Source organism: Homo sapiens, chromosome 17 (genome assembly GCF_000001405.40).
Source record: "Homo sapiens chromosome 17, GRCh38.p14 Primary Assembly".
Classification (NCBI taxonomy): Eukaryota; Metazoa; Chordata; class Mammalia; order Primates; family Hominidae; genus Homo; species Homo sapiens.
This window is the reverse complement of record NC_000017.11, coordinates 59,390,408-59,415,480: the sequence shown is the minus strand read 5'-3', so window position 1 is coordinate 59,415,480 and position 25,073 is coordinate 59,390,408. Positions and strand designations below refer to the sequence as shown.

At 46.0% G+C, this 25,073-nt stretch overlaps 1 protein-coding gene across 2 annotated transcripts in view, besides 1 other annotated feature; it reads right to left on the bottom strand.

Moving 5' to 3' along the window:
• Positions 1–13,751: 13,751 nt before the first annotated feature.
• Positions 13,752–25,073, bottom strand: part of YPEL2 (yippee like 2) — a 70,075-nt gene continuing 58,753 nt past the window's right edge. For both annotated transcript variants that reach the window (NM_001005404.4, XM_017024621.2), the window contains exon 5: positions 13,752–18,380. In NM_001005404.4, coding sequence (NP_001005404.1) covers positions 18,291–18,380 — 90 coding nt within the window. In that variant the 3' untranslated portion in view covers positions 13,752–18,290. The remainder of the gene's footprint in view (positions 18,381–25,073) is intronic.
• Positions 17,794–18,993: an enhancer, noted in NCBI's record as "BRD4-independent group 4 enhancer chr17:57473849-57475048 (GRCh37/hg19 assembly coordinates)". NCBI's record gives its function as "activates an origin of replication core promoter dependent on BRD2, P300/CBP, MED14 and CDK7 cofactors, and independent of BRD4, by STARR-seq in HCT116 cells {active_cell/tissue: HCT116}" and the evidence as "EXISTENCE:reporter gene assay evidence [ECO:0000049][PMID:35650434]".

The window sequence follows — 25,073 nt, the reverse complement described above, 5'->3', positions numbered from 1 at the left end:
TCCTCAATCACCTCTCGCCTCCATCCAGCCTCTGTGCCTCTCTGTAGTCCTTCCTTCCATAACTGTCCAAGTGGAAATGTGATGTGTATCTGACAACGTCATGCTTCCGCTCGAAAATCCTTTCCCCCCACCCCGTAAGTAAGGAAACAAGCTTGAAATTCTTTAATGACTTCTTGATGCCTATGAGTTAAAACCTAAACACCTTACAAGGCCCTTCAAGACCTGGCGCCAACCTCCCTGTGTGGCCTGATCCTCTCTTCTGCTGTTTCCCTTGAACTCTGTGTTCCAGGCATACCAGATGCACTTGAAGTCTCAGGTCTGAGGACTGGGCCAGATGTCCCCTCTGCCCACAATGCCTCTTCCTTTTCTCTTCTGTGCAACCCCTGTGCATATGCACACACACGTGTTACACACACATACACACACACACAGCATATCCATTTGGTGATTCCCACAAATTCTTTGAGACTCAGCTCTGAAGATGCCCCCTGGGAAGCTCTTCCTCACACTCATAATCAGATATAGGCACCTATTCCTCTGACACCACCCCTTCAGCCCTCTGATGAAGCAAATTATTTTTTATTGTAATTTTCTCTTTACAAACTGTCCGTCTTAGAGAATATAAGGTCTGTGAGGGCAGGAACCATAGTTATGTTGTGACTGTTGTATCCTCAGCATCTGTACATGTTCATAAATATTTGGCTTTTTGTTATTTATTTTTTTCTTTTTTTGACACAGGGTTTTGCCCTTGGTGCCCAGGCTGGAGTGCAGTGGCGTGATCTCAGCTCACCGCAACCTCCGCCTCCCGGGTTCAAACGATTCTCCTGCCTCAGCCTCCCAAGTAGGTGGGATTACAGGTGCCCGCCACCACGCCCGGCTAATTTTTGTATTTTTAGTAAAGACAGGGTTTTGTCATGTTGTGCAGGCTGGTCTCGAACTCCTGATCTCAGATGATCCACCCGCCTCAGCCTCCCAAAGTGCTGGGATTACAAACGTGAGCCACTGTGCCCAGCCTAATATTTGTTAAATGAATAAATAAATGGCTTCTTAAAATGAATTGATCTTCGAAGTAGATTCTGAAATCTTGGAAACACTTTGTCCTCACATTTTCCCTTTGTTGGACTTATTTCCCTGGGGATTTTTGCTATAGTGGGGCTTGGGTTGGAGGCTGAATATCTGGTGGTTAAAATATAGACTCCAGGCTGGCCATGGTGGTTCACATCTGTAATCCCAGTGCTTTAAGAAGCTGAAGCAGGAGGATTTCTTGAGCCCAGGAGTTCAAGGCTGCAGTGAGCTATGATTGCACCACTGCAATCCAGCCTGGGCAACAGAGCAAGACCCTATCTCTTGAAAAAAAAAAAAGAAAAAAAAGAAGTCACCATCTCAGCCTCTGTTTTATTTATTGTAAAACTGAGTTAATAATAGGACCTACCTTAGAGGGTTAATGTGAAGGCTAATGAAAAAGTACATGTAGGCTGGGTGCAGTGGCTCATTCTCTAAGAGTGCCTGTAATCTTAGCACTTTGGGAGGCTGAGGCGGGCAGATTGCCTGAGCTCAGGAGTTGGAGACCAGTCTGGGCAACGTGGTGAAAACCAGTCTCTACAAAAATACAAAAACTAGCCAGGCATGGTGGCGTGTGCCTGTAGTCCCAGCTACTTGGGAGGCTGAGGCATAAGAATTGCTTGAATCTGGGAGGCAGAGGTTGCAGTGAGCCAGAATCACACCACTGCACTCCAGCCTAGGTGACAGAGCAAAACTCTGTCTCCAAAAAAACCAAAAAGTACATATGGAACATTTGGTGTCTGGCACAGAGTGAGTGCTCAATACAAATGAGCTATTATTAGCAGCTATTTTCCTGACAGCTTCACTTGACCCCATTGTGTCACCATCACTTTTTGAACCAAATGTCTGGAGTCTGGTTCTCAAACATGGGCACTCGATTTCAGCAGGCTTTACATTTGCCATCGTACTGGGTCACACTGTATACTAGGCCTTGGGGGAAATGGATCCAGATGGTGTCTGAAACTAGGGAGTAGCCTTTTGCTTGTAAGTCATTATTTATTGCCTAGAAACGAAAAGTAAGCATTACCCACCAGTCAGCAGATTACCTGAATTCTTCAAAAGTCCCACCAGTCTATTCCCTGCTGCCCCTCGCTCTTTCTCAAATTTGGTCAAACAGAGGTGACTGGTGATTGTTGCAGCAATTTCCCCTTGGAGGAAAGGAAGTGGGACGCACAGACCCTCAGAGTAAGCTGCCGGATGTTTTGCTCCTTCCGTTGGCTACACAGGGTGTGTAAGAAAGCAACTCTGGGTAGACGGAGACCCCATTGTGACAGTCCCATACACAGCTGGAAGAAATGCCTTTCTTTCAATACTCAGGCAGAAGGAGGAGGTTGTAGTCTCCATTCAGGCTTGAGTTTTCTAGATGCTGGTTCAGCAGCCTCTTTGAGAGGTCATAATAGTCTCACTGGAGCCTTGAACTAAATAGCCCAGATTATAAATTGGGAGATTGGCCAGACATGGTGGCTCACATCTGTAATCCCAGCACTTTGGGAGGCCAAGATAGGTGGATGGCTTGAGCTCAAAAGTTCAAGTCCAGCCTGGGTAACATGGCGAAACCGCGTCTCTACCAAAAATACAGAAAATTAGCCAGGTGTGGTGGTGCACATCTGTGGTTTCAGCTACTCAGGAGGCTGAGGTGGAAGAATTGCTTAAGCCAGGGAGGCGGAGGCTGCAATGAGCCAAAATCGTGCCACTGCATTCCAGTCTGGGTGACAGAGTGAGACCCCATCTCAAAACAGACAGATAAATAAACAGCAAATTTGTATGCTAATGAAGTGAGGAGTGACATGATTTAAAGTAACAAAATGACTCCTCAAAAGGATTAAATGACTCTTCATGTCAAATGACTTTTTTTTTTTTTGAGATGGAGTTTTGCTCTTGTTGCTCAGGCTGGAGTGCAATGGCAAGATCTCGGCTCACCGAAACCTCCACCTCCCAGGTTCACGCAATTCTCCTGCCTCAGCCTCCAGAGTAGCTGGGATTACAGGCATGTGCCACCACGCCCGGCTAATTTTGACTCCCAACCTGAGGTGATCCACCCACCTTGGTCTCCAAAAGTGCTGGGATTACAGGCGTGAGCCACCGCACCCAGCCTTTTTTTTTTTTTTTTGAGATGGAGTCTCACTCTGTTGCCCAGGTTGGAGTGCAGTGGCATGATCTCGGCTCACTGCAGCCTCTGTCCCCCAGGTTCAAGCAATTCTCCTGCCTCAGCCTCCCATGTAGCTGGGATTACAGGTGCACACCGCCATGCCCAGCTAATTTTTGTATTTTTAGTAGAGATGGGGTTTCACCATGTTGGCCAAGATGGTCTTGATCTCCCAACTTCATGATCCACCTGCCTCAGCCTCCCAAAGTGCTGGGATTACAGGCGTGAGCCACCGTGCCCAGCCATCAAAGGACGTTTTAGAGCCATTAAGAAATAACATAATTTTGGGTCAGGGGTGAGGTCTTCTTTTAAATATGCAATCGTTTTGTGTTTTGTTTTGTTTTTTTTTTGAGGCAAAGGCTTACTCTGTTGCCCAGGCTGGAGTGCAGTGGTGCAATCTCGGCTCACTGCAACCTCAGCCTCCCAGGTTCAGGCAATTCTCATGCCTCAGCTTCCTTCATAGCTGGGAATACAGGCATACATCATCATGCCTGGCTAATTTTTGTATTTTTAGTAGAGACGAGGTTTCACCATGTTGGCCAGGCTGGTCTGGAACCCCTGGCCTCATGTGATCCACCTACCTGGCCTCTCAAAGTGCTGGGATTACAGGCGTGAGCCACCACACCTGGCCTAGTTTCTTATAAATTTAAACCTCCGCCTTACCATATGACCCAGCAACTCCACTCCTAGAAATTTACCCAAGAGAAATGAAAATGGAGGCACAATATCCATAAAAATCTGTACACAAATGTTTATAGCAGGTTTTTCAGAATAGCCAGAAACTGGAAACAAAACAAATGTCCCTCAACTGGTGAACATATGATGGCATATCCGTACAATGGAATACTATTCAGCAATGAAAGGAACAACCTATTGATCCACGACCATAATGAACCACGACATTATGGTTGAATCTCTAAAGCATTATGCTAAGTGAAAGAAGCCAGACTCAAAACGCTTTGTATGGCATTCTGAAAAAGGCAAACTATAGGAACAGAAAACAGGATTGTCAGGGGCTGGGGCTGGAGGAGAGAGGTGATTACAAAGGGGACATGTGGAATTTTTTGAGGTGATGAAAATATTCTGTATCTTGACTGTGGTGCATGACAGGTATACATGACTGTGTACATTTGTCAGAACTTGTAAAACTGTACACCTTTATAATTATGTATTTATTTAGAGACTGGGTCTCACTCCATCACCCAGGCTGGAGTGCAGTGGTACACAGCCTGGAACTCCTGGACTCAAGTGATCCTCCAGCCTCAGCCTCCCCAGTAGCTAGGACTACACGTGTGAGCTACCACACCCAGCTGATTTTTAAAATTATTTTTGTAGAGACAGGGTCTTGTTACGTTGCCCAAGCTGGTCTCAAACTCCCGGCCCCAGCAATCCTTTCACCTTGGCCTCCCAAAGTGCTGGAATTACAGGTGTGACCCACGGCACCCACCTTTTTTTCAAAGGTGAATTTTACTGTTTGTAAATTATATCTGATTTGAAAAAAATATGTGTATCTATCTCTCTGGCTCTTGAGTTTCATAATCCTAGGCCATCAAGGGTAAGAAAAAAAAAAAGAAAAAAAAAGAAGATTCTCAGTAAGGGCAAAGTATTTGGGAGAAAACACCATAAAAGAAAGCCATATTTTCCCACCTCCATCTCTCACTTGAAAGGAAAGGAAAGAGATTCCCTAGAGCAAAGAACAAGGAATAAGAGAGATTAGTGGGGCCTGGAGATGAAGAGGCTGGTCCTAAAGGGACCCCGCTGAAAGTTTTGCAGTCCATGCTCACTGACTGTGCAGCCTCTGACTTCGTGGGCTCATACATTGCTTGCATCCAGGCTCTACTTGTGAGAACTTCCTTTGGGCAACAGAGAGCACACCGCCCTCTGACCAGCCCCCTGAAGGGATTCCTGTTTGTGCTCCCAAGACTTTGCTCAGCATCCTCTCCAACATAGCCCATGTGGAGAAATCTGCCGCTTTGCTACTCCATGAGTAACTGCTAATCACCCCATTCTTCCCACCACTTGTACTTAAGTTGGACTGAATGGAACCATTTGAGGACCTTCCTTGCCCCCCCAACACTGGTTGTAGAAAACATCTGTCTACATGCTTTACTTAGGTTTCCCGTCCTCTAAGCTTCTCTCTCATTTACCTTAGAGTTTCCAGTGGAATAAGGTAAAAGCTAAAGTAATCTTTCCTTTCTCCCGCATATGTTCAATAAATATCATGAGTTTCCTTTTGGGTTAGAGTTGAAAGGAAGAATTCTTTGAGCATCTGTATATCCACTTGATTATTCCTTCAGCAACCCTTCATTGAACCTTTAGTCTGGGTAGCTGTAAAGAAAGAGTCTGGGCTGGGCACAGTGGCTCACGCCTGTAATCCCACTGGGAGGCTGAGGTGGGAGGATCACTTGAGCCCAGGAGGTCAAGGCCACAGTGAGCTGTGAACATGCCACTGCATTCCAGGCTGGGCAACAGAACAAGACGCTGTCTCTAAAAAGAAAAGAGTCTGGGTCCCTGCCCTCAAAGAAGGGCTAGGGAGGGACACAGATAATACAACTCGATAAGGACCATACCAGAGGCCTGGGCCAAGTGCTGCAGGGACCCAGTGGAAGAGGGGCCATGGTGGCAAGGCCCATGGGAAGCCTTTCTAGAACTTTACTTTCTAGTCCAACCAGTAACTGCTGTGGCAACACAGATCTTTCCTTCACTGGGCAACTACCCACTCCCCTTTTTGCATAAGCATTCCCAGGGGGACTGAGAAAACTCCCTAAGGGCAGAGACCTTGTCTGTTTATCCCTAGCATAAAGCCTAGCTCATAAATATTTGTTGAAAGAATGTGTGAGTGATTGTCTTTGGGGATATTTAGCATTTGCCAAATTCCCTGGAAAGAAATATAAAATAAAACATGTTTAGAAAGAACATGCTGGGAGCTAAATGATGAGAACTTAGAACACAAAGAAGGAAACAGACACTGGGGTATACTTGAGGGTGGAGGATGGGAGCGGGGAGCGGAGCAGAAAAGACAACTATTGGGTACTGGGCTTAATTCCTGGGTGGTGAAATAATCTATATAACAAACCCTTGTAACATGAGTTTGCCTATGTAACAAACCTTCACATGTACTCCTGAACCTAAAAGTTAAAAAAAAAAAGTACATGAGAAAAAAGGGATCATTATCATCCATGATATTAAGAATCCCTCTCCTCTGTGCAGTGTTTCACATACATTTTCTTTTTTTCTTTTTTTTTTTTTTTTTTTTTTGAGATGGAGTCTTGCTCTGTCGCCGAGGCTGGAGTGTAGTGGTGCAATCTTGGCTCACTGCAACCTCTGCCTCCCAGGTTCCAGCGATTCTCCTGCCTCAGCCTCCCAAGTAGCTGGGATTACAGGCATACGCCACCATGCCCAGCTAATTTTTTTGTATTTTTAGTAGAGACACGGTTTCATCATGTTGGCCAGGATGGTCTCGTACCTTGTGAGACTCAGTTGACCCATCTATAAAAAGGGGTTACAGGCCGGGCACAGTGGCTCATGCCTGTAATCCCAGCACTTTGGGAGGCCAAGGTGAGTGGACTGTTTGAGCCCAGGAGTTTGAGACCAGCCTGGGCAACATAGTGAGACCCTGTCTCTACAAAAAAATTGACCTCAGGTGATCCACCCGTCTCAGCCTCCCAAAGTACTAGGATTACAGGCATGAGCCACTATGCCCGGCTTTCACATGCATTTTCTACTTTGAGTAACATAAATCCATGCCTTGCCCTCACACTACTGAAGCAAAAATCATGACCATTTCTTCAGCTATACAGTGCCAGGCTTTCTCTATGTGCATGATCTCACTTAGTCCTCACAGTAACTCTTTTTTTTTTTGAAATAAGGTCTTGCTCTCTTGCCCAGGCTGGAGTGCAGTGGCACAATCATAGCTCACTGCAGCCTTAACCTCCCAGGCTCAAGCAGTCCTCCCACCTCAGCCCCCCAAGTAGCTGGAACTACAGGTGTACACCACCATGCCTGGCTAATTTTTTAATTTTTTTGTAGAGACAGGGTCTCACTATGTTGCCCAGGCCGGTCTCAAACTCCTGGGCTCAAACAATCCACTCACCTTGGCCTCCCAAAGTGCTGGGATTACAGGCATGAGCCACTGTGCCCGGCCTGTAACCCCTTTTTATAGATGGGTCAACTGAGTCTCAGAAGGTAACTGATCTGGCCAGGTGTGGTGGCTCACGCCTTTAACCCCAGTACTTTGGGAGACCAATGTGGGAGGATCATTTGAGGCCTGGGCAACATAGTGAGACTCTATCTCTACAAAAATAAAAATACAAAAATTAGCCGGGTGTGGTGGTGCAGGCCTGTAGTCCCAGCTACTTGGGAGGCCGAGATGAATAGCTTGAGCCCAGGAGATTGAGGCTGCAATGAGTTATGACAATGCCACTGCACTCCAGTGGCCTGGGTGACAGACCAAAACCCTATCTCTTAAAAAAAAAAAAGGAAGGTAACTGATCTATCCATGGTCACACATCTAACTAGCAACAGAACCAGGTCTGACTCTGGTGCCCGAGTTTTAAACCACATGCCTGTGCGTCTCATGCCCACTGGTAGAAAAGTCTTTTGCAGGCATTCTCCACCAGGCGTGGTGGCTCAAGCCTGTAATCCCAGCACCATAGGAGGCTGAGGCAGGTGGGTGATGTCGGGAGTTCGAGACCAGCCTGGCCAACATGGTGAAACCCCATCTCTACTAAAAATGCAAAAATTAGCTGGGCATGGTGGCACACATCTGTAATCCCAGCTACTTAGGAGGCTGAGGCAGGAGAATCGCTTGAACCCAGGAGGCAGAGGTTGCAGTGAGCTGAGATCGTGCCACTGCACCCCAGCCTGGATGACACAGTGAGACTGTCTCCAAAAAAAAAAAAAAACAACAACAGGCATTCTTATGTTGAGTTCTGTCTGCCTCGTCCCACTGCTTGCTTTTTCAAGCAAGCCTCCCTCAGGCTAAACCTGGGTTTACCCAAGGCAAGAGGAAATGTCTGATGCACTGGACTCAGAAAGTCCATGCCAGTTACTTCTGAGAGAACGCTGACCTTTTCTTTGCAGGATGACTACCCACTCTCCCTTGTTAAACAAAAACTCCCAAAGCGGTCCCTCCTACAGCAAGGGCTCCAGGAGGTCAGCGGCTCTCTTTTCCCTCCAGCCTCCTCTCTCAGATGGCTGAGAATTCTCGCCAGTAAACTATTTCTTTTCTAATATCATTGAGATCTAAAACGAAATGAAATCTGAACCTTGGGTATGTCTCGTCTCCATGGAAACAGCTTCAAGCCTGAGTGCCTCCAAGAGATATGGGTGCAGTTCTTCCAGCTGCCCTGGAAATAAATGACTGAGAACTGGGCAGTGCCAAAACAAGGTCCTGTTGAATTAGCAGCAGTTTTAATAATAACCACAACAGGTTCAACATAGGATTAGGTCATCAGCAGCAGCATTATCAACCTGTATTTTCAATTTTTAAGTGTGCTGGCTTGGTCAAGAACCAGCCAAATGAATGACAGCACAGATCATCCTGTCTACTTTGGGAAGGGATGTTTTAAACTCTATTAAGGTGGTGCAAAGACTGTGGTAGGAAAAAACATAAACAGTAATAAATTTTAAGAACATTCTGTAGACGCATTTTCGCTTCTGGGAATGGGAAACTAAAATTTCCCCAAGAGGCTTCATTATTAAAGCCATAAATAAAACATCCCCGATTCGACTGCTTGGTTGCTTTGCTTGCGTGGCCTTGCTCTGGCGAAGTGGCTCAGAATTTGAGGCAGACACGTCCAGGGGAAGCTGGGGAGGTGAGTGAATTTGACAGCATTGGGCCTCCTCCTCTCCAGCACGTTACCTGCATGCCAGACCAGAGTGCAGGGATGATGAGTGCATTTTGCTGTACTGAAGACCACCAGAGAGGATTAGCGTAAAATTCAAGGATGATTTTTCTAGCTGATGTCCCCCTACCTTTCTTCTTTCCATAAACGTACACTCTCCTCTAGAAGTAAAAGCAAGCAGTATGGTGCAAGGACCACTAGCTTCATTGCCTAACAGGGCTGCTGCTTATTAGGCCCAGTAACCACGATTACTTCACTTCTCTGGGTGTCAGTCCCCTGTGTAGAGGTGGGCTCAGAGGGATGAGTGCTGAATCCTACATATCCTATGTGCTCACAGTGTTCACCACAGTGAGTTCCAATCAATCAGTAAAAAGACAAGTGACACTTGCGGAGACCCATTTGTGCTGGGCACTTTATGGCTGTCATTATATTTGACCTCACGATAACTTACATGGTTGCTGGTGTTCCCTATTTACAGATGATGGAAACGAGACCTCATAATTGCAGTGACTTTCTCAAAGTGATAAATGTGTAAACATGCAGCCAGGCTTCAAATCCATCTGTCCAACCCCAAAGCCAAGGTTCTTTCCACTTGACTCTGTTGATTTCTGAGCTCATGAGCTCGGGATACATCATTAACATTATTTTAATTGAAAATAAATATAACTCGCCAGGCACGGTGGCTCACGCCTGTAATCCCAGCACTTTGGGAGGCCGAAGCGGGCGGATCACCTGAGGTTGGGAGTTCAAGACCAGTCTGACCAACATGGAGAAACCCTATCGCTACTAAAAATACAAAATTAGCCAGGTGTGGTGGCACATGCCAGCTACTTGGGAGGCTAAGGCACGAGAACTGCATGAACCCAGGAGGTGGAGGTTGCGGTGACCCGAGATCGCACCATTGCATCCAGCCTGGGCAACAAGAGCAAAACTCAGTCTCAAAAAAAAAAAAAAAAAAAAAAAAAAAAAATATATATATATATATATATATATATATATAAAATTCTTTATCATTGGGAATTACAGGTACCTTATATGCAACATGAACTTTTTCAATCCTTGGCTTGTTCCAAGCTACCCTGGAGAATTACCTCTGAATGGCTCCATAAAGATGTTGTCATGTGTTAGAATACCTTAGTCATTTTCATGTGGGCAAGGGTCTGGATTTTTTTTATCTTTTAAAATCATTTTGAGCAAATGAAAACAACATTTTTTCCCCTCAAAAGAAATATAAGGCTGGGCATGGCGGTGCATGCCTGTAATCCCAGCACTTTGGGAGGCTGAGGAGGGTGGCTCACTTGAGGCCAGGAGTTCGAGAGACCGGGAGGTGGAAGCTGCAGTGAGCCTTGATCGTGCCACTGCACTCCTGCCTGGGCAACCAGAGTGAGAGACCCTGCCTCCAAAAAAAAAAAAAGAAAAGAAATATAAAAGCATAGTGCCACAATCAAAAAGGCTGAACTCCTGTAAAATAAAAGTATAATACAACCCAACCATCCCACAGTTCTAAGCTCTGTTTCTCCAATGCTTGAAAGGCCAGGATTTCCATTTTATATGTAAAAAGAATAAAACATGAGTGAACAAAATAGCCATGACATTTTGGTGTACGCTCAGATCTGCCAGGAAGTTTCTTTCTGGTTGATTTTCATGGCAGGCTGGGGCCACAGATAGGGTGTGGGCTTCACAGAATCAGAACAAGAGTGAAAATCCTCGCTTTTCCACAGGCAGGCTATTTATACTTCTTGAACCTCAGTTTCTTCTTCTGTGAAATGGGGGGATTATTGTGTGAACTAAACAAATAATGTGCATAAAGAGCAAATATAATATTCTTCATCCCACTCTCAATTCAAAATAGACTTGTGCCATGCGTGATAACAATCATCTTCTTGACTCCTTAACTTTGTGCCAGGCACTGGGCTGAGCCTTTTCTACAGATTATCTAAGGGAAATCAGTATTTGAGCTCAGTTGCTCTAGCTCCAGAGCCTACCCCATGCCCCGCTCTAGGACACGAGCCACTTACTGGTTTCAGATGAAAGGCTTTATGAGCAATTGCTTCAGCAGAAAGTAGGTGCCTGTGAGGGTCCAGTGGTCCTGTGTGAGGGTCCTGGCTGATGTGGCGAGCCATTTGGCCCAAAGTGGGGAGGACCTTGCATAATAATCCCTCATCCTCTCACACTGCAAAATTAGTACCACAGCTTTCTGCTCCCTTGGATTGGTTTCCCTACTAGACTAGGCATATAATAGATGTCCAAAAAAAATGCTTGTAGGATAAATAAATGCAAATAAACCGAACCATTTCCCTATGTGGGAAGCATTTTATGCTTAACTTCTCCATTCTCCTCTTAAACATACTGACATGATTGAACAGATTTTTTTAAAAGCTGTTAATTCTCCACCATCCAATTCAAGGCCCATCAAGCATTTATTCAGCACCTATTATTAATGTAGATGGCCAAGGATTACATATGTAATCCATTAGAGAGTACTGAAAAACAACAACAAAGCCCAGTGTAAAAATATTGAGCTATGAAATACATAATACTTTCCAGGTAGCATTGACTTCTGTAGCTGTTTTATCTTAATTTTCTAATTTGCATTCCCTGAGCTCTTATTAAGCAGTCAGGGTGGGCAGACTGGGAAAGTGTCATGTGAAGCAGCACCAGAATTAACATGGCAACATGCCGAAACCCCAGCTCTACAAAAAAATACAAAAATTAGCTGGGTGTGGTGGTGTGCACCTGTGGTCCCAGCTACTTTGGAGGCTGAGGCAGGAAGATCACTTGAGCCCAGGAGGTGGAGGCTGCGGTTAACAGAGATTGCACCACTGCACTCCGCCCTGGGTGACAGAGCCGGACCCTACCTCGAAGGAAAAAAAAAGACTTAACAAGGCTAAAATTGGAATATGGTTTAGTAATGAGACCTTGCAAAACCTCAATTTCATTATCTACAAAATGGGGATAGTGTCCTCTCCCCTCCCTTTCTCCCAGCAGGGAAACAAGAGCTTGAAAGAATGAGGACCCAAGGATGGCTTGACATTGGTTGTCTCATGCATATTCTTTTTCTCTCGTCCTTCTCTGCAAAAGGCAAACAAGAATGAAATGATAACAGGCACATCCACTGAAGCAAAACAGGTCACTGGAAGAAGATAATATACTGAAGGACAAATAAAAGTCAAGTGTAGCTGGGCCCAGAATGGGTAGGTGAAAATGTGTGGGAAGGAGAGAAGGCATGTCCTTTTTCATAAAACAGATTTTTTTTGTTTTTTTTAAGACAGGGTCTCATTCTGTCACCCAGGCTGGAGTCTGGTGGCACAATCGCGACCCACTGCAGCCTCAACTTTCTGGGCTCAAGCAATCCTCCCAGCGCAGCCTCCCAAGAAGCTGGACTGCAGGCATGCACCACCATGCCTGGCTAATTTTTTTATACAGATAGGGTCTCACTATGTTGCCCCGGCTGGTTGTAAACTCCTGGACTCAAGCCACCCTTCTGCCTTAGCCTCCCAAAGTGCTGGGATTATGAGCATAAGCCACAGTGCCTGGCCATAGAAAGGCTTTAAAAATATTAGCAATGTGAAACATGCACACTTGTGTGGTTTTAGTATCTTCTTTGCCATTTTGGCTGCCTGTACAAGATGGGTACTCCATAAGATATGGAAGCAAGCTTTTGAAAAGGTACTTTAAGATATAGTATAAAATGATAAACTGGGCACGGTGGCTCACACCTGTAATCCCAGCACTTTGGGAGGACGATGTGGGCAGATCACTTGAGATCAGGAGTTCGAGACCAGCCTGGCCAACATGGTGAAACCCCGTCTCTACTAAAAATACAAAAGTTAGCCGGGCGTGGTGGCACGTGCCTATAATCCTAGCTACTCAGGAGGCTGAGTCAGGAGAATCACTTGAACCCAAGAGGCAGAGGTTGCAGTGAGCCGAGATGGTGCCACTGCACTCCAGTCTGGGCAACAGAGTGAGACTCTGTCTCAAAAATAAAATAAAATAAAATAAAATAAAAATAAAAAATAAAATAATGATGATGCCGAGACAAAACTGTTTAGCTTATGTTAAATGAAGGCACCAGCTCACAAAATTTACTTACAATGACTGGATATACAAGACAGTGTGTGCATATGGATCAGACCAGATGAAAAGTACTTGGCAAACAAAAACAGCTTATTTATTAGGATGATAGAACTGCCTTGCCCAGTGCCTGGAATCAAACACATGTTTAATAAATGTGTTGATAATAAAAATAAAATAAAAATGAGAACATCTGATATGCCATGTTATAACTGTGAATGCTGGTCTCTATTAGCCAATCATTCAGAGATGATACCACCCCTTTTTGACATAATTTTGTTGTTTTACTTCTTTTTTTCCCTTTACTTCATGCAATACTATTTCCAAAGAAATTGGTGTCATCAGAAAAGTCTGCAGAGTCTATGAATATGGGGCTTTGTACACAGAACTGGATAAAGGTCACTCATGCATTTCTGATATCTAAAGCCAGGAGAAGCATTTGCAGATAAGCAGGAGACCTGCTGTTATTCATTAGTTAGCTGACTGTCCTTGGGAAAAACAAGCCCTTAGGGTCTCAGTCAACAGATCTGTGACTGGATTTAGATAGGCCTTTAAATACTTTAATATGAAATGTCAAGATCAAACACACTGGGTCAACGAAGACAGATGAGCTCTTCAAAGAGTTAATATTTGAAAACTTTTATTTTCTCAAATGAGCACCAACACAGATTGGAAATATGACAGAAACAATGCACTTTTCTCTAATACTGAATCACTATGTACAAATACAGGAAAAGGTGAAGACAAATTATTTGAAAACAATTACCTTTGTTATAGAAGCAAAGTGACCTGAAAAATGCCACCAAAGAAAACAAAAACCCAAACCCAACAAATACAGTTTGTAAACACAAGCATAAATAGACAGATTCTGTATTGGAAGATAGTCTCTGCAGGTTGGGAAAGGGAACCGACTCCCACTGTCACCGAAATGTTATACAAAAACATATGCGCAGATAGAATTTGGTAACATGAGAATAGCTTTCATAGTTTCTTCTAGGCTTTACCTTTTCTGCCAGATTTCATAACTATTTTAATTTTTAAAAAAGTAAATATCTCTTTCCTCTATCTAGATAACTAGCATATTTTCTCATTTGAGGCAGATTCCTTTAAAATATGTAAGTTGATTGTGTTCAAGATTTGATTTCTCAGCCTCTTTCTAAACCTGAGGCAATCTGACCTTAAAAAAAAAAAGCTGTTTACCACTAAGATATGTGTATTATAATATTAATGTTCTTTTAATCCAAACCAGTTAATGTTTAACATGATGTGGCTTCTAAAACAGCTGGAGCCCTGCGATACGTGATTAATACACTCTCATCTCAGTTAGAAGCACAGATTTGACTCTGCTCCATCTTCACAAACAACACATCTCCTTTACAGTCTGTAAAAACTGAGCACGCAAAGCAAGAAAAAGGAGCAAACCCGCAACAGCTCCATACTCAAAACAAATCCTCGTGGGTTCTGCTGTTGGTCCACTCAGAAACAGAAACAACCAGAGAGAAAGAGAAGAAAAACTTTATGCGCCCGAGGTGTAAACTGTAGTTAAAGTGTCCCCACTCGAGAAAACAGGAGGCACAATCGAAAGTGCTTTTTACACACGTGTGCGCGCACACGCACAACTAAAAACGTGATTCTGATTTGTTGGAAATTCTTCCAACAGGAAGAATCACTGTAAGTTGTTACTACTAAATTAACTTGGTTTTATTTATTTTCTTTTCTAGCCAATACTGATGCAAGAAAATATTTCAATTCTCAACCTGATTAATGTACTGCAGAGTCTGTTCCACTGGGGAAAAAATGCAGAGAGGCATTGCTTCAAAGCCTTGATCCAGATTAAAGTGATAGAGACCTTAAAAAAAAAAAAAACTGAAAACATGTATTGGTGATCACTGTTTCCCTTAAAATATACTTCAAGAAATGCAAAGGAAACCATAGAATTTAAAAGGAAAATAAAAAGTGCTCTCAGGGGATCTGAGAAAACAGCACCAAATATATTATTTAAAAAATTAAATATTATTTACAAAAGTATATTTTACAAGCAACTGTTTCTTTTATATATATCCACTTGAAAATCTCTTTATAAAGGGTCATCTCTTTCGCACACACTGATCCACCAGTAAAAATGCACTCTAGCCTATCCTCGTGAACTCAGGAAGAACACTCAGTCAGGTTCAGCTGACAGCTTGTGGGTATCGAGTTTGGCTGTGTTTGGTTCATGTCAAATCAATCCATCAGCAGCCTGAGACTAATGTCCCGGGTCCCGAGGGGTCTGGGTCTACTCCAAGGTGGCCAAGGTCATATGACCTAGGGTGGCACAGGGGAGATGGAGCTAGAGAGTCTGCTGGCTGGACTTCAGTTCCAAACGAAGGCAGCTGCTGGCTGAGGTATAGAACTTCATGCCTTTTCCTTTCTCACGTCCCCTTACCCTGTCTCTACTCCCAACACCCCGCCCCCAAACTTCACCAACAAACTCCAATTACCCCAACCCACCTGGGGTGAATGAATGAGGTCTTTGGTTATGCTCTAAGTCAATAATTTGGTGAGGAAATTAAAGAATGAACTGACTGAGGCCATGAGTTAATTTAGCATCTCCATAGCTCAGCTGTGGCCTCTCCAATGCTGCTCAATGTTAGATAGACAACCCATGAACAGAGCGAACGTTGTAAGAAGCACTTTTGGTTTCACTGACACAAAGGGAAAGCCTAATGACTTTTTTTCCCCCTGTAGTTATGGAAAAACCAACACTCTACTCAGCTCTCTCACAGCAAGTATGGCGCCTTGCACCCACTGAAGGCTCACTGGATAGTCACCGAAAAAAAAAACATTCAGAACCAGGGTCTGACTGGAGCCTGCTCTGATCCATCCAACAGTCAAAGGCCTCATCCCCAAGGAAGAACAGTGGCACATTGGTCCCCTTGGAAACTTGAGGGCACCCCATGTCTAGTTTATGTCACCACATTCCATTTGTAGTTTGAAAGACAAAATACCTACCCCATGTTTAACCCCATTTTCTTATGGGAAGGACTATCAATAAACAGCCAGGACAATCGCTGAGGAAAGAGTCCAATGAAAATCCATAAAGGAAGACTATTTCCTTGAGGAGGGGGAAGGGAGAGAGGGGAAATCCATGGCTTCTGTGCCGGGAAGCCAGCTTAGGAATGTGAAAGTTAAAAAACGATTTCATTGAGAACTTGGGCCTGTGAGCCAGAGAAACTATTCTTCTGGGAGCAGAAATTCAGTATTTCTTCTGAACTTCAGTCTACCTTGCAGTAAAGTGGGGAGAACAACTTGATCTCCCAGGGCTATGAAAGCACTGGAAAGATCTGGACAAGAAGCCTTGGGGAACAAAAGTTGATTTCTAAGCCCACACGTCTTGGGGCTCCCATTCCACCATCAGCGCGTGGAGACACACAAAAAAGCATTTCCACCAAGGACGCGCTCTGAATGGAAACTGGTTCTGCTGCAGACGCTATTCTGAAAAGCTCCTGGGCTGTTGGCTGCTTTCATCTCAGTTCATCACTTTACAGAATCTCCCCATGAACTCATTCTTTTGTGAGACTTTTAGGGTGAATTTTCCGAGAAGGTCGGCCTACTTGGAGGAGATGCTGAGAATTACCTAACACGCACACGTATCTTAACAATAATATATTCAGTCTAAGAAATGAAATTAACCCAGTTAAATGAGTTTCAGTCATATACTGTGTAATGGCTGAATTGCTGTAGAACAGACTTCACAGTGTTGATTAAATGTAACAAACTCCTCTTTCTCTTATGGGCCTTACAGGGATGTGCTCTCCACTTCCCTAATCGAAGGATGCTTGGATGGGGGAAGGGGTGATATCGGAATTTGGGCAGAACTCCTCCCTGCTGCTGGACCACACTGACAGGAGATTTCTCTCCATGCAAGACATTCAGGCCTAAGTGGGACAATTAGGGGCATGAGGAATCTACCAGCCAGGTTATTACTAAGCTCAGAGCCTGGGGCCCGTGCTTTCTACAGTCTACAGTAACAAGACTGGAGAAAAACACCCGAAACTCTAAGAACAAGAAATTGACGATCCCACGGAAGCCACTGTAAAACCGAAGAGGAAAGATGCACCGAACCTGAACTGGTTCCAATGTAAACCCCTCCTCCTGGGATGACCCCTACCCAGTCCCCTCCCTCACCACACTCCTCTTATGAGGGGTCAGAAGGAAGGGCAGTTAGAATTGCTAACTGATCCTACTTTTTATTTCTCTGACTCAATATCTGAGCCATTTCTTCAGGAGCTCCCAAACTGCAGCCCCTTTGTGCCCTGCTCTCCTCAATTACTGATTTTACTTGGTTGCTGGTCAAAGCCTTTGGGATATTTGGATGGTAAGCCCATTGCAAACAGCAGTCCCTTCACACCTTATCTACGGTGGCTAGAGGCAAAGATGATGATTGCCCAGAGACTGAGTGAGGCATCAGAGTCATCGCACCCACCTGGCCACTGCCCAGGTCACTCGCTGCTGCCAGGACACTCCCCCACTCAGCCCAGGAGAACCAGGCCCTTGCCCCACCAACTAGAATCAGGGCCACATCTTGTGCTCATTTGCTAACCTGGCACATTTGGTGTCAGGAACAGAAGCTTCTAGTCAGAGAGAATGCAGTCATGAGGTATTTTTTTTTTCTCTTTGTCCTTTTAGACAAGTCAATTATTTCAAGCCTAAGTTATCAGGTCTCCAGGAGCGGCGCAATTTTGTTCCTACCTCCACCCTTCCACCCCTTCCCCGCGCCAGGACCCTTAGAGTTTCCCCTTTCCCTCTTCCTCACGCCCCCGTGCCACTGCTCTCCTGACAAGAGGCCATCAGGCAGCTCTCGCATGGGCCCTGGGGCCCTTACCAAGGTGGGCTGCCGCCATGCGGTCAAGGATCTGTTCCTTTTGTTGTTTTGTTTTCAGCCAAAACTAGAACAGAGAGAGAAGCCAGGATCAACTCACAAACAGATACAAAGCAAAGAGACAGAGAGACAGCGATTTAGAGGCCGGTCACCAGAAAGATGGCGTCAGGGTGGGAGGATGCCCCGGATGGCAAGGCCCCTAAATGGATGGAACCAAGTGTCAGTCACTCTCTCACGCTTGGGAAGAATGTTCGGTTGAATGGCGTTCACGTGGACACTGGGTTGGGTAGATGCTGTCCAATCAGTCCCAGCCATTGTCCTTGATCATGTGTGCTAGTTCAATGATGTATTTGCCTTCTTTATATTTCTGGCTGCTTTCAAAAGCATGTTCCTAGGAAATACAGAAGCAGAGAAGAGATACTGAACGACCAAAGACAAGAAAATGATTTTTTTTTTCTTTTTTGAGGCAGTCTCACTCTGTCACCCAGGCTGGAGTGCAATGACGCAATCTCCACTCACTGCAATCTCCGCCTCCCAGGTTCGAGCGATTCTCCTGCCTCAGCCTCCCAAGTAGCTGGGATTACAGGCACCCACCACCACACCTGGCTAATTTTTGTATTTTTAGTAAAGATGGGGTTTCACCATGTTGGACAGGCTGGTCTCTAACTCCGGAGCTCAGGTGATCCACTCACCTTGGCCTCCCTCATGCCTGCTGGGATTACAGGTGTGAGCCACCATACCCGGCCAAGGAAATGCCTTTTGTAGCAGAGAAGCAGGGGCAGATGACAGGTATCAGCGTCACCACGGTCTGGTCCCAGCTTCACCTTGACTCAGCGAGATGATTCCTACCCCTCAAGCGCTTTATGTCCCCCTCGCTTAGCTGCAGAACTGAGGCAACACCAGGACTTTCACAATATTACAACACAATTTTCCAGGAGCTTCGCTCATTTAAGTCTTTGCAATGTCACCCCCTCAGTAAGGTCTTCCCCAGCTACCCTACTTAAAATCCAACTTCCACTCCAGTACTCCCTTTCTCCCTTCTGCCCCAACCCCTGCTTTAGTTTTCTTCACTGTACTTCTCACTTCTGAATATACATTATAATTTGCATTTCTATTTTGTTTATGCTCTGTCTCCCATGACTACAATATAAACTTCATGGAGTGCAGAGACTTTCATGTTTAGCTCATGGCTGTAGCCTTAGAAGACTGCCTGGCACATAACAGAATTTCAATACATAATTGCTGAATGAATTAGTACATTTACATATATAAATTTACATATATATAAATCTTGGTTTACTGGTGCTAACGGAAGTTTGCCCTGGGTTAGATCCATAAAGTTTCTGTGTCATTCCTGCTAGTTTCTAAGAACATAAGAAAACCTGGTTCTAATTTTATTTATTATTATTTTGAGACGGAGTCTTGCTCAGTCGCCCAGGCTGGAGTGCAGTGGTGCAATCTCGGCTCACTACAAGCTCCGTCTCCCGGGTTCAAGCCATTCTCCCTCCTCAGCCTCCCGAGTAGCTGGGACTACAGGAGCCTGCCACCATGCCCAGCTAAATTTTTTTTGTATTTTCAGTAGAGACGGGGTTTCACCATGTTAGCCAGGATGGTCTCAATCTCCTGACCTCGTGATCCACCCGCCTAGGCCTCCCAAAGTGCTGGGATTACAGGTGTGAGCCACCGCGCCCGGACGCCTGGTTCTAATTTTAAACTGTAATTGTTAGGCTTAGAGAAGACAGGGAGAGGAACAAAATACCGTGAGGCCAGACAGGTCTCCTTCTCAATCGGTTTTTCTTGCTGCTTCTATGTCAGATGTGTGGAGACAGGAGCTGTATAAACTCCAGGCCAGAGAACCTGGCAGTCCTTAAGCCCCACCTAACTGCCAGGCCCCCAGAGGGAGAACGTCATACTAACCACCTGGCAGGTGACTTTTCTAAACCCACAGCACTGTGGGCTCTCCCAGCGAATAAACAGGGCTCTTTTGTTTGCAGAGATACACACATAAGAACATCTTGGTGTATTCTCTGAAAAACACTGGTCATCTGTGTCTCAGCTCCATATGCACAAGCAGTGGACATCAGCCCTTCCCTGAGCCCCCAGAATTAGTAAGGAATTGAGGCGTACCCTTGCGGGGTTCTGGGTCACCGTTGTATCAACTGTGTCTTCTGTTCTAGAGCTCAGGGGCTTTGTGTTTCAGAACAAGAGCTCAGGCACACCAGAGCAGCAATGTCCCTGACACTTCATTATTCCGTCTCTGTGCACACACATGCACACATGCGTGTATACACATGACAGAGCAATGTGTTTTGGGAATAAGGTCCATTGTTCCACGGTAATGTGTTTGGGGGGGAAGGAGGAAAAAGCAAAACTAAGAAAATGAGTTTCCTGTCCCTCTCCCTCTCCCTCTCCCCACGGTCTCCCTCTGATGCCGAGCCGAAGCTGGACTGTACTGATGCCATCTCGACTCACTGCAACCTCCCTGCCTGATTCTCCTGCCTCAGCCTGCTGAGTGCCTGCGATTGCAGGCGCGTGCCGCCACGCCTGACTGGTTTTCGTATTTATTTGGTGGAGACGGGGTTTCGCTGTGTTGGCCGGGCTGGTCTCCAGCTCCTAACCGCGAGTGATCCGCCAGCCTCAGCCTCCCGAGGTGCCGGGATTGCAGACGGAGTCTGGTTCACTCAGTGCTCAATGGTGCCCAGGCTGAAGTGCAGTGGCGTGATCTCGGCTCGCTACAACCTCCACCTCCCAGCCGCCTGCCTTGGCCTCCCAAAGTGCCGAGATTGCAGCCTCTGCCCGGCCGCCACCCCGTCTGGGAAGTGAGGAGCCTCTCTGCCTGGCCGCCCATCGTCTGGGATGTGAGGAGCCCCTCTGCCTGGCTGCCCAGTCTGGAAAGTGAGGAGCGTCTCTGCCCAGCCACCATCCCATCTAGGAAGTGAGGAGCGTCTCTGCCCGGCCGCCCATCGTCTGGGATGTGAGGAGCCCCTCTGCCTGGCTGCCCAGTCTGGAAAGTGAGGAGTGCCTCTTCCCGGCCGCCATCCCATCTAGGAAGTGAGGAGCGTCTCTGCCCGGCCGCCCATCGTCTGAGATGTGGGGAGCGCCTCTGCCCCGCCGCCCCGTCTGGGATGTGAGGAGCGCCTCTGCCCGGCCGCGACCCCGTCTGGGAAGTGAGGAGCCGTCTCTGCCCGGCCGCCCCATCTGAGAAGTGAGGAGACCCTCCGCCCAGCAGCCACCCCGTGTGGGAAGTGAGGAGTGTCTCCGCCCGGCAGCCACCCTGTCTGGGAGGGAGGTGGGGGTCAGCCCCCCGCCCGGCCAGCCGCCCCGTCCGGGAGGGAGGTCGGGGGGTCAGCCCCCCGCCTGGCCAGCTGCCGCGTCCGGGAGGTGAGGGGCTCCTCTGCCCGGCCGCCCCTACTGGGAAGTGAGAAGCCCCTCTGCCCGGCCACCACCCCGTCTGGAAGGTGTACCCAACAGCTCATTGAGAACGGGCCATGATGACAATGGCGGTTTTGTGGAATAGAAAAGGGGGAAAGGTGGGGAAAAGATTGCGAAATCGGATGACTGCTGTGTCTGTGTAGAAAGAAGTAGACATGGGAGACTTTTCATTTTGTTCTGTACTAAGAAAAATTCTTCTGCCTTGGGATCCTGTTGATCTATGACCTTACCCCCAACCCTGTGCTCTCTGAAACATGTGCTGTGTCCACTCAGGGTTAAATGGATTAAGGGCGGTGCAAGATGTGCTTTGTTAAACAGATGCTTGAAGGCAGCATGCTCGTTAAGAGTCATCACCACTCCCTAATCTCAAGTACCCAGGGACACAAACACTGCGGAAGGCCGCAGGGTCCTCTGCCTAGGAAAACCAGAGACCTTTGTTCACTTGTTTATCTGCTGACCTTCCCTCCACTATTGTCCTATGACCCTGCCAAATCCCCCTCTGCGAGAAACACCCAAGAATGATCAATAAAAAATAAATAAATAAATAAAATAAAAAAATAAAAAATAAAATAAAATAAAAATAAAAAAAAAGAAAATGAGTTTCCTATTATGAAAAAAAAAATTCGGCCAGGCGTGGTGGCTCACACCCATAATCCTAACCCTTTGAGAGGCTGAGGCAGGAAGACTGCTTGAGGCCGGTTTGAGACCAGCCTGGGAAACATGACAAAAACCTCATCTCTACAAAAAAAAAAAAAAATACAAAAATCAGCTGGGTGTGATGTCATGCACCTGTGGTCCTAACTACTCATGAGGCTGAGGCAGGAAGATCATCTGGGTCCAGGAGGTTGAGGCTGCTGTGAGCCAGACTGCACCACTGCAGTCCAGCCAGGGGCCTGTCTCAAAAAATAAATAAAATAAATCAATAGCCCCGAGACACAGAGGCATTTGGAAAATGTCAGAATTGGATTCCAATGGAAAGTGCACTAGACCTGGTGTCAACAGAAACACACCAACTAATCCTGCCTCTACTGCTTCCCAGCATTGAACCATCACTTACAGAACTGGGAGATTCACACTTACTTCACAGAGATAACAATGGAATGAAAGGAGGGCCAGGTGCGGTGGCTCACACCTGTAATCCCAGCACTTTGGGAGACCAAGGTGGGGGGATCACCTGAGGTCAGGAGATGGAGACCAGCCTGACCAAATGGTGAACCTGTGTCTCTACTGAAAATACAAAAAATTTAGGGCCGGGCACGGTGGCTCACACCTGTAATCCCAGCACTTTGAAAGGCTGAGGCGGGCAGATCACGAGGTGAGGAGTTCGAGACCAGCCTGACCAACATGGTGAAACCCCGTCTCTACTAAAAATAGAAAAAAAATTAGCTGGGCGTGGTGGCGCACACCTGTAATCCCAGCTACTCTGGAGGCTGAGGCAGGAGAATTGCTTGAACCCAGGAGGTGGAGGTTGCAGTAAGCCGAGATCACACCATTGCACTCCAGCCTGGGTGACAGAGTGAGACTCCATCTCAAAAAAAAAAAAAAAAAAAAACGTGCCCTGAGCTGGCACATAGGAGGTGACGGATGCATATTTGGGGTGTTGGGTGTTTCCCTGCTGTGCTGTGCACATCACAGTACTTGTCAGGCTGTTTGATCTGTTTTCATGTTGGTTTTCCTCCTCAGCTGGCATCATGACTGTCAACACTTTGAGGACAGACACTGGATCTTATCCATTTTTTTGGTATTTAGTCAAAGGCTTTTGATAAACCTTTGTCAAAAGAATGAATTGTTTTACCTGAACCTCAAGTGGGGAGCAAAACCAACCAACTCAGGCTTATCATGTATCTTCAATCCAACACATCTTCAGGGCAGTAAGACAGCCAAGAGGCTGGGAAACAGGGGCAGGGGCAGAACTTTTCTGCACTTGATCTTAGCCAAAAGGCCAAGAAGCAATGAAGAACATTTCTGGATAACCACAATTAGAACTGTGTCCCCCACCCATCATCACCCAGAGGGGGCCCGTGACTGTACAGAGGGAATAGAATGGCCAAATCCAGCTTCTCCCACAGGAACAACCAAGCCAACCATAGGAAGCTGTGGCTAACCCATCTTGGCACCACACAACACACTATCTAGGTTTTTTTTTTTTGCTTGTTTTTTGAGATAGAGTCTCACTCTGTCGCCCAGGCTGGAGTGCAATGGCATGATCTCGGCTCACTGCAACCTCCGCCTCCTGGGTTCAAGCGATTCTCCTGCCTAAGCCTCCTGAGTAGCTGGGATTACAGGCATCTGCCACCATGCCCAGCTAATATTTTTATTTTTGGTAGAGACGGAGTTTCACTATATGTTGGCCAGGCGGGTCTCGAACTCTTGACCTCAGGTGATCCACCCACCTCGGCCTCCCAAACTGCTGGGGTTATAGGCCTGAGCTATTACGCCTGGCCCCATTTTTGTTTGTAATCCTGAATGTTTCCAGGGAGATGGGGAAAATGGAATCTAAAGGCAGTGCTACCAGGCTCCACCTGGGACAATTTTTTTTTTTAATGATTTCCACATTTTCAAACTATTTCAATGGAATCATAATTCAGTGCCTGGCATGTACTGCTCACATTATTTTATATGTGTGTAAATATATTTTTTTCCCAAAAGATGTTATTTTTAGAGCAGCATTAGGGTCACAGCAAAATTGAGCAGAAAGTACAGAGATTTTCCACATACCCGCTACCCACCTCCAGACTCCCCCACTATCAAAATCCCACACCAGATTAGAACATTTGTTACAATGGATGAACCTACACTGACATATCGTCAGCACTCTGCGGCAGGTTTGACAACTCCTTCAGGCTCCTTCAGAAGCCAGAGGCAGTTCATGAGCCATATGACAGGACAGGGAATTTGAGACATTTTACATGGACTAAATTGCCTTCCCAGAGACAGGAAGACCAACTTTTCAGTATCCTCACAATGACAGGGAGGGCAAGAACAGAAAGGAATGTGCAATGCATGGATGTACACGTGCAGGCTGAAAAAAATCTGCTAATAATAAAAATAACAATTTAAGTTAATTTTCACTGACATATGCTCTATGCAAGGTGATGACCTAAGTGTTTTATAGGCATGATCCTATTTAACACTCAAACCAACTCTGTAAGTATGAGGAAACTTAGCATAGAAGCTAAGTAGCTTGTCCAAGGACACACAGACAAATAAGTCATGGATCCCAAATTTGAACCTGACTCTAGCTGCCTAGATGGTTCTTAACCACTAGCTAGAGGGACTGTAGGGGCAGTGTCTATGGTTATGTGGTGACCCCAGCGCATGTTAGGACAATTAGTCCCCAGCGTTCAAGCAGCAGATCCCAGCCCTTCCCTCCTCTCACTCTGGCAAAGGACTGCTCACTTTCCCCAGGCCCCAAAGGGACCTTAACATTTTTTGCTGAGTTAAACAATGAAAGAATAATTGTCCATTTGGGAGAGGTCCAGCCATGATCACATCTGACAGTGGATGTTAATTAAGGCAGTTTTTGATAATGCCTTGCTCAGGGCCTGGGACCTAGGTGTTTTAGGAACATTTATTGGAGTATCAAAGTACAGTGGCTTCAGAACATGGGTTCTGGACCAGGCAACAGTGTGGCTCACGCCTATAATCCCAG